At 34.9% G+C, this 6,972-nt stretch overlaps 1 protein-coding gene across 6 annotated transcripts in view; it reads left to right on the top strand.

The window, feature by feature from the left end:
• Window positions 1–4,009, top strand: part of FOXP2 (forkhead box P2) — a 607,439-nt gene extending 603,430 nt beyond the window's left edge. For all 6 annotated transcript variants that reach the window (NR_033766.2, NR_033767.2, NM_148898.4 and 3 more), the window contains one exon: window positions 26–4,009. Coding sequence is in view for 4 of the 6 variants with exons in the window: in NM_148898.4 (NP_683696.2) it covers window positions 26–170 (145 nt within the window). In the remaining 2 variants the exon portion in view is untranslated. The remainder of the gene's footprint in view (window positions 1–25) is intronic.

A 6,972-nucleotide genomic window follows, 5' to 3' on the forward strand; every position in this document is an offset into this window, starting at 1 on the left:
TTTGGTGTATCTACATGTTTTTCAGACATTCAATCCACGTCAAGGAAGAGCCAGTGATTGCAGAGGATGAAGACTGCCCAATGTCCTTAGTGACAACAGCTAATCACAGTCCAGAATTAGAAGACGACAGAGAGATTGAAGAAGAGCCTTTATCTGAAGATCTGGAATGAGAACTGACTTGTGAAACCTCAGCGTGAAGGGACATATCACTGACCTTCATAACCACTCCACAACCATGAATATTTGACAAATTTTTACTGTGACTATTTATTAAGCATGGATAAAGGAGACAGCCCTAAAGGAACTTACTAAGCCAGCCCTTTGGGATTCAGTACCAACAGGCAAATTGCTTGTTTTCTTCTTCTTCTTCTTCTTTTTTTTTTTTTTTTTAGAAAAAAAGACAAAAACTGATTTTCTTGAAAAAAAAAAATGAACTGTTCTTTCTATAATGGCTTTGCCCATTTAAAAAATGTGGCTCTTAAGGGTTCATGAAATGACTGAATATGAGGATACATGTCCTGTAGAAAGCAAATGCGCCTCATATACTGCCAAAAATAGTGTTAGTTTCATTAATGTGAATTTTCCAGCATTCAGTAGTTGTAATGTTAGAAACAATTGCTGGTCAAGTTCAACTTGTTGCTATTGTTTTTAATTTGCACAGGAGTAGTATCAGAAATTAGTGTCACTGCTTGTATCTAGCTGAATTTTAAACAACAGAACATTAGTTTTTTATGTTGGTGCCACCAACTGTAAATGACATAAGTTAGTTATTACAAAACACAGTAATTAGACTGTTGCAACCATCTAAAACCTTAGGCTTCCAGTCTGTGCTGTTAGTGTTAAGATGTAAAGTGCAATCCTAAGCTAACATTATCTGTGCAAGCACCATAGAAACATTTGCATATCTGCATAGATCTTACAACTGTACTCTTTACCTCCTTGTGATAAAGCTTTGTCTACCTGCAAACACAGTCAAAGGCTACAGCTGCAAACCAAAGCCAACTCTAACCATGGCCAAGAGCTCAAGGACAGAAGCAGCCACATGCTTTGGTCAGCCTTCTGTAACTTCAATTAGTACAAAGGAACCTTTTCCATGAACTACCTGCTGTTTTCTGATGACCTCTGGGATCTTTTCATTTAGCCCTAAACAAAGAAACAAATATGACAAAAACCACAACTAAAAAATGTTAATTCAGTCACAGAGTAATCTTCTGAGGCCAAAAGTCCATCTAAATGCAATGAAGATTTGCTTTCATTAAAGACAGAGGTGAGGACAAAATCCGCAGTGGAAGTTATGATATGCTAGAAAGCAACAAATGTGGATCACTGACCAAAACGATTATGTACTTGATGCAAATGCAGATTGCATATTGTTATATATATAGTACTTTGTGTTTTTGTTTTCCCTCATTCAGTCAGTTATTTTCAGTGGTGAATACATGTTGTTAGAAGATGTCTTGTATGGTCTTAATCTTTGTTGTGTACTATTTTTTTATAGTCTTAAGTTATAATGAAAAAACAAAAAGTAGGAACCAAACATAAAAGGTCTAGTAAAGCCAAAAATTAATTTCATATTGATTTTAAAGTGATCTAGCTGAGTTTTTACACTGAAAGCAAAGATTATAGCAATTGTAGTCCATGGTATTTATTTTCAGTCAAACCAAAGTTACATATAATTCTGCCTCTGCTTATACGGGATATTAACACTAACAATACACTCCCTTCAAAGACTTGCACAGGCCAAATTGTTGGAATGCTGGTTTTCTTGACAATTCCAAACCCCAAAACTATGATAATGAGTTATGATGTAGTTGAAAATAGCATAGTCAGATGTTTGCTTAAAACCTAGAAACTTAACATGTTGCTTTTCATGTGCTGTGCCAAGTCTTGATAATACTTTTTCCCCCAACCAAGGGACCTCATAACCTGATTATGGTTATTGCTTTACAAACAGTTTTGACAGAAGGTGGCTGCTAGAGCTTAACATACGTTCCCGTTCCATGTGATGGAACCGGTTCTTGCAAACTAAGCTCATCATTGATTCTTTGCTGAAGTCAGCAAATAGAGTTAGAGAGATACCCAGTCATCTATCACACCAAATAAAAGGACATAACGGCTTTCAAAAGGGTTTTCCCACTTACCCAAAAGGCTTTCTGAAAGCTTCTACCTCTGCAAAAAAAAAAAAAGAAAAAAAAAAAAAGAAAAACATTAGAACAATTATGGCAGATTGCATGAAACGTGAGAACGTCACAGTAACTGCTACTTTTCATTATGTTTGTCTTTGGGTCATGATCAACGAACCGGAAGTTTACAATATGGTATTAAAAGAAAGATGGGTATGGTGAAAGATGGTTTTCAGTCATCTAGGATCCTACTGTAAGGATTATCTGAAAGGAAAAATGGGTCTTTCAGGTGCATGTTCAAAAGGCTTTGAGGGACTGGAAGTAACTGCGAGAGTTGTACCATCAGAAGGGTGGCCTAAGACTACAATGCTAAAGTATGCATACCTCAGTTAGAAAACTTTTGAAAGGAAGTCTCAGCCACAGAATGCATATACCTGTAGAGTTTTGCATGGGTTTTATATGAATACAATTTTAAAAAATAGCTGCTTGCACATTATACCAGAAAAACCTCCAAAACTGCAATTGCTTTGAAAATAGATTTTAGGTTTTTTGGAGTTTCCTGAAATGCTTGGTCTGTATTTTGATAATTGTGCATATTATGTAAAAATGTTGGTGGACCCATAAATGACCAGACTTTTTCTAAGAAAAATGTTGCTTTAATGCATTTCATGAATTTTTACTCTTATATCATTGCTTGCTAGTAATAGCAAATCTGCTTTTCTGCATCTGCTTTGCGTAGCTATTGTAAGGCTTTGAACTAATGTATGTATTTATTGCTTGAACTTCTGTGCATACCTTATAAAGCATAATGTCTGACAATTTAAATGGCTCATGTATTCTTGCTTCTATCATAAGCTGATTATGGGGACTATGATCTTTTGTATACAGCAAATTTTAAACTGTAGCACAAACATCTGTTTATGTATTGGTGGAATATACCTGTTTTATTTATCTTTTTTGAGGTAAACTAATTTTTGATACTTTTCATTACTGTGTACTATGTTCATACTTTGAATTCTCTGACGTTAGAAGTCATGGTTGAGAATTGTAACAGCTGTTATTCGTTCTGTATTCATGGCTTTCACTGCTGAATAAAATAAAGGACCAAACCTAGGATTTGAAAGAAAACTGTCTACCTCTAACACCAGGGAGTTATCAGATTTTATTTTACATAGTTTTAGTCTACAAAGACACAATTGCTTAAACCTAGTGGGCTTAAGGCTTATATTCTATGTGGTTGGATTCGTGGCACAGTTGTACTATTTGAAAATCAATTAAAATTTTATGTGAATGTTACAAGTATTTGGTAGAATTACCACTAACTGGGTTTTCTTTAGATAACTCAGATATGGAGAAAATGTCATCAGCATTCTGTGTCTACAGCTGCTTAACTTCATAAGAATGCATTTCTTTGTGATTAGGGAATCGAAGAATAGTCAGCTAGGAATAGAGCTACAGAAGTACACTTACATAAACCATCCTGGACTTTAATGTCCCTGGGCAGATTCAGTCGCAAAATCCAATATGATATTTTGTAAAGTTTTCAAGTTGGACATTTACATTTTTGAGAATTTTGAGACTTCATCTTACACATGCCAGTATTAACACACATTTGGACAATAGCTTTATTAAGTCTATAAAGCTATTGAAAGGAACATGGCTTACCCTTGTTATTTCACTAGTTCAGGTTGCAACGAAAGGTTTTTTTGTCCATGAACACTTGGCATATCTTACTTAGCAAAAAAGAAGGATGTACATTTTACTATAGAATTAATGTATGAACAGTGTGTCACTGCTGTTGGATGTAAAAATGTATATGAAACCATTTCATTCACTTGATTACATTTCTGAAGTATAAATAAAAAAATCTAATTCTTTTTGACCCATTTATAACCAATAGGATTTTATTCTTTCGGAGAGACCATTCTTCCATGCCAGAGCCAAGTCATAAATTTGTATACACATGTCCCACAATTTGTTTAAAATTATTTTCTTAGGGATTTGGGATTCATAAACCAGACCATACTCAAATGTAAAGATGGAGGCTGCTTGTCAAATGCATTCCATTAAAAACTGTCTTCAGGTTCCAAATTGCTTCCCCACACACTTATCTCATGTTTTCGTGTTTTTATTCTGATACAATTTGACATTATAAATTCTGAACATTAAAAAATGCCAGGGGAAAACATGATTACTCTTTTTAACTTTATGACTTTTTTGCTTTATTGTCTTTTTTTGTTTTGCCTCTGAATATCAGTCACACCCACAGCATCCAGCCATGGTTTAGGGGAATGTGTCAGAGATAGGTAAGTAGCTTCCAAGAAAATGCTTTTTAGGATATTAGGGATCTGTTCCAGACCCATATTAGTGGAAAAAAACAGGCAAGATAGGGCCTCAGCATTAGAAAATTTCACTTCCTACTTTAACCTAACTTCCAAATCTCCTCACAATCAAAAGTAAAAGGAAAATGAATCTGTTGAGAATTTTTTAATTTTATGCATAACTTAATATTTTCTGTCATCCTAGTGAAAGGGTACCTTGAATAAAGGACTTTCCACAGGATTAAAAAATGGCTTTAAAAAGAAGTATGGACATGAGATTAATGTCCTTGAACATTACGTTTTTTTCTTTATCAACTAGTTCAAAGTAAATGATTACCAATGTATCCTGTCCAGCGTATTTTGTTAACTTACTAAAGGCTACATAACAAGATGTGAATCCAGTCTGAGCATTTTCTATACTTTAATATAAGGAGAACAATTTAGAGATGAGAAATAACAAGAAATGAGTAAAACTGATTTGGCGGATGTTTTGTACGTAAACCTAAATTCAAACTCTTGTGATCCTGTAGTTTAAAACACTTGTTACCCAGATATTTTGTGCTGTTGAATCAATGGAGGATTCAGGTGCTTTGTAAAAAGTTGGTCACTAAATTACTTCTGAATTTTTAAAATAAAAACACAAAAAAGATGTCAACTTAAAATCTAAGCAGAGAAGAAATACAGATGGCAAGTCACACTTTAAGTATTTTCTTTCTTGAATAAGAGTAATGAAAGCTAAGCATCCAACTCCCTACTGTTTCAAATATTTTACAAAAGGATATTAAGACAAATCCTAATGTTCAAATGCTGGTGAAGGAAAAGATCATAAGCTCTATCTTTTCGCGTTTTTTTGTTTGTTTTTAAACTGCATGGAAAACTGTAAACACCAAGGCACAAGGTAACTATAAGAGAATGTGTAACTTGAGAAAATAAGACGTGGCTTTACCCACAATTTAACGTACTGTTCCCTTTACCCTCCGTATGTTCAGTCGCCAACACCGGCTAAATGAAACTGTGTGACACCTGAATAAATGGAAAGACCAGCCATAGTAAAACAAATAAAGAGTTTATAATTTTCTGGGAAATTTGCACCTTACAGGTGATGGCCATATTGCTTAAGCCAATATATACACATAGGCACTCACACACACGCATGCTCCAGGAAGAAAACAAAATCAGAACCTTAAGCTCCAGATACACACTATCGGTTTCACACTCTGTTGTGAAGTTTCACTTAAAATTCTTTGAATAAATATCAGTCAATCTCTTTTCTAAAGCTGAAGCTGATCTTATCCCTTAACTTCATGGGTTTTTAGTTTCCAGCACTCTTACAGAAAATTAAAACATCCACATTATAAAAATTGTCCCTCCTTTCATATTTGAGGATTGTTGGGATCAAAGGTTTGACAGCGAATATTCATGTCCAGAGGTGACGATGAACAGAAAGAAAAAATGAAAAGAGTTATTAAAGAAAATGTTCCTGTTATGACTAGACATGATATGTATTTTTTCAACTCTTCATGTCATGATGATAGCACTGAAGAGGTCATCAATTTGAAAGTGGACTAGCTGTGTGATTCCCTTCTCAGTCACTCGTAGATCCTCGTGTTCAATAGCAATTTGCTATTGCCTGGTGGAAATTGTGGAAAACAGCTTGCAGGTTCCTGTGATAACATCCAGGGATACTGATGTGAGGCAAAGCCCCTAAGCCACCATTCTCTTCCTCCCTGTGGAGGCAGCGGACAGCCCTGGAGTCATGGGAAATGATGTAGGAAAAACACCTGACCTGGCCTCCCTGCTTTCCTTTAAGTGTACTGATAGGATGCTATAGAAAATGCAACATTTTAAAACTACCAATCCTCTTTTCTCAAATGTGCTGGGGGAAAAAATATCACAAGAAGTCTCAGGGAAAAGTCATAAAATTTTAAAAAGACACTTCTAATATAAAGTTATTAAGATCATAAATTCACACATCTTCCATAAGCCAAAAAAATAAGCTTCTCGGAGAACAAAAGCTAAGGAAAATCTGGGCCAGCATCGAGTGAGTCCTTGGAGTTGAACTGTGCACCAGTATTTAAATGTTTTATTTAATGCCCTTCACCAAAGAAAGGAGCTCCTATACAGTTAATCCACAAGAAACCAAATCAACCCAGCCTCAATAGGGCTGAGGTTCAATAGAAATGTTTCATCGGCAAGTATTAAACCTAGATGTTGAAAGTCTTATAATAATATCAAATGCTTGCTAGCAATGCCATGCATTTGTTTATAGTTTTGAACTCTCTGATAATAGAAATCAGTTAATTTCAAAGTTAATTTTTAAAAAAAGATTGCAAATAATAAAAGATGAATTTTAAAATCATTTTACAGATGCCACTGTTTTCCCCATAACCACAAAATGGTATGTGAGCCACCTACAATAATCCAACATTTTTGGTTGTCTCCAGTCTGAGACACCTAGTTCTCAAGTATATTCTCCTTATTTACCACTGTGGAGGGTTTGTTTAATACTCATTGTGATGCATAATCAG

This window comes from Homo sapiens, chromosome 7 (genome assembly GCF_000001405.40).
Source record: "Homo sapiens chromosome 7, GRCh38.p14 Primary Assembly".
NCBI classification, from domain to species: Eukaryota; Metazoa; Chordata; class Mammalia; order Primates; family Hominidae; genus Homo; species Homo sapiens.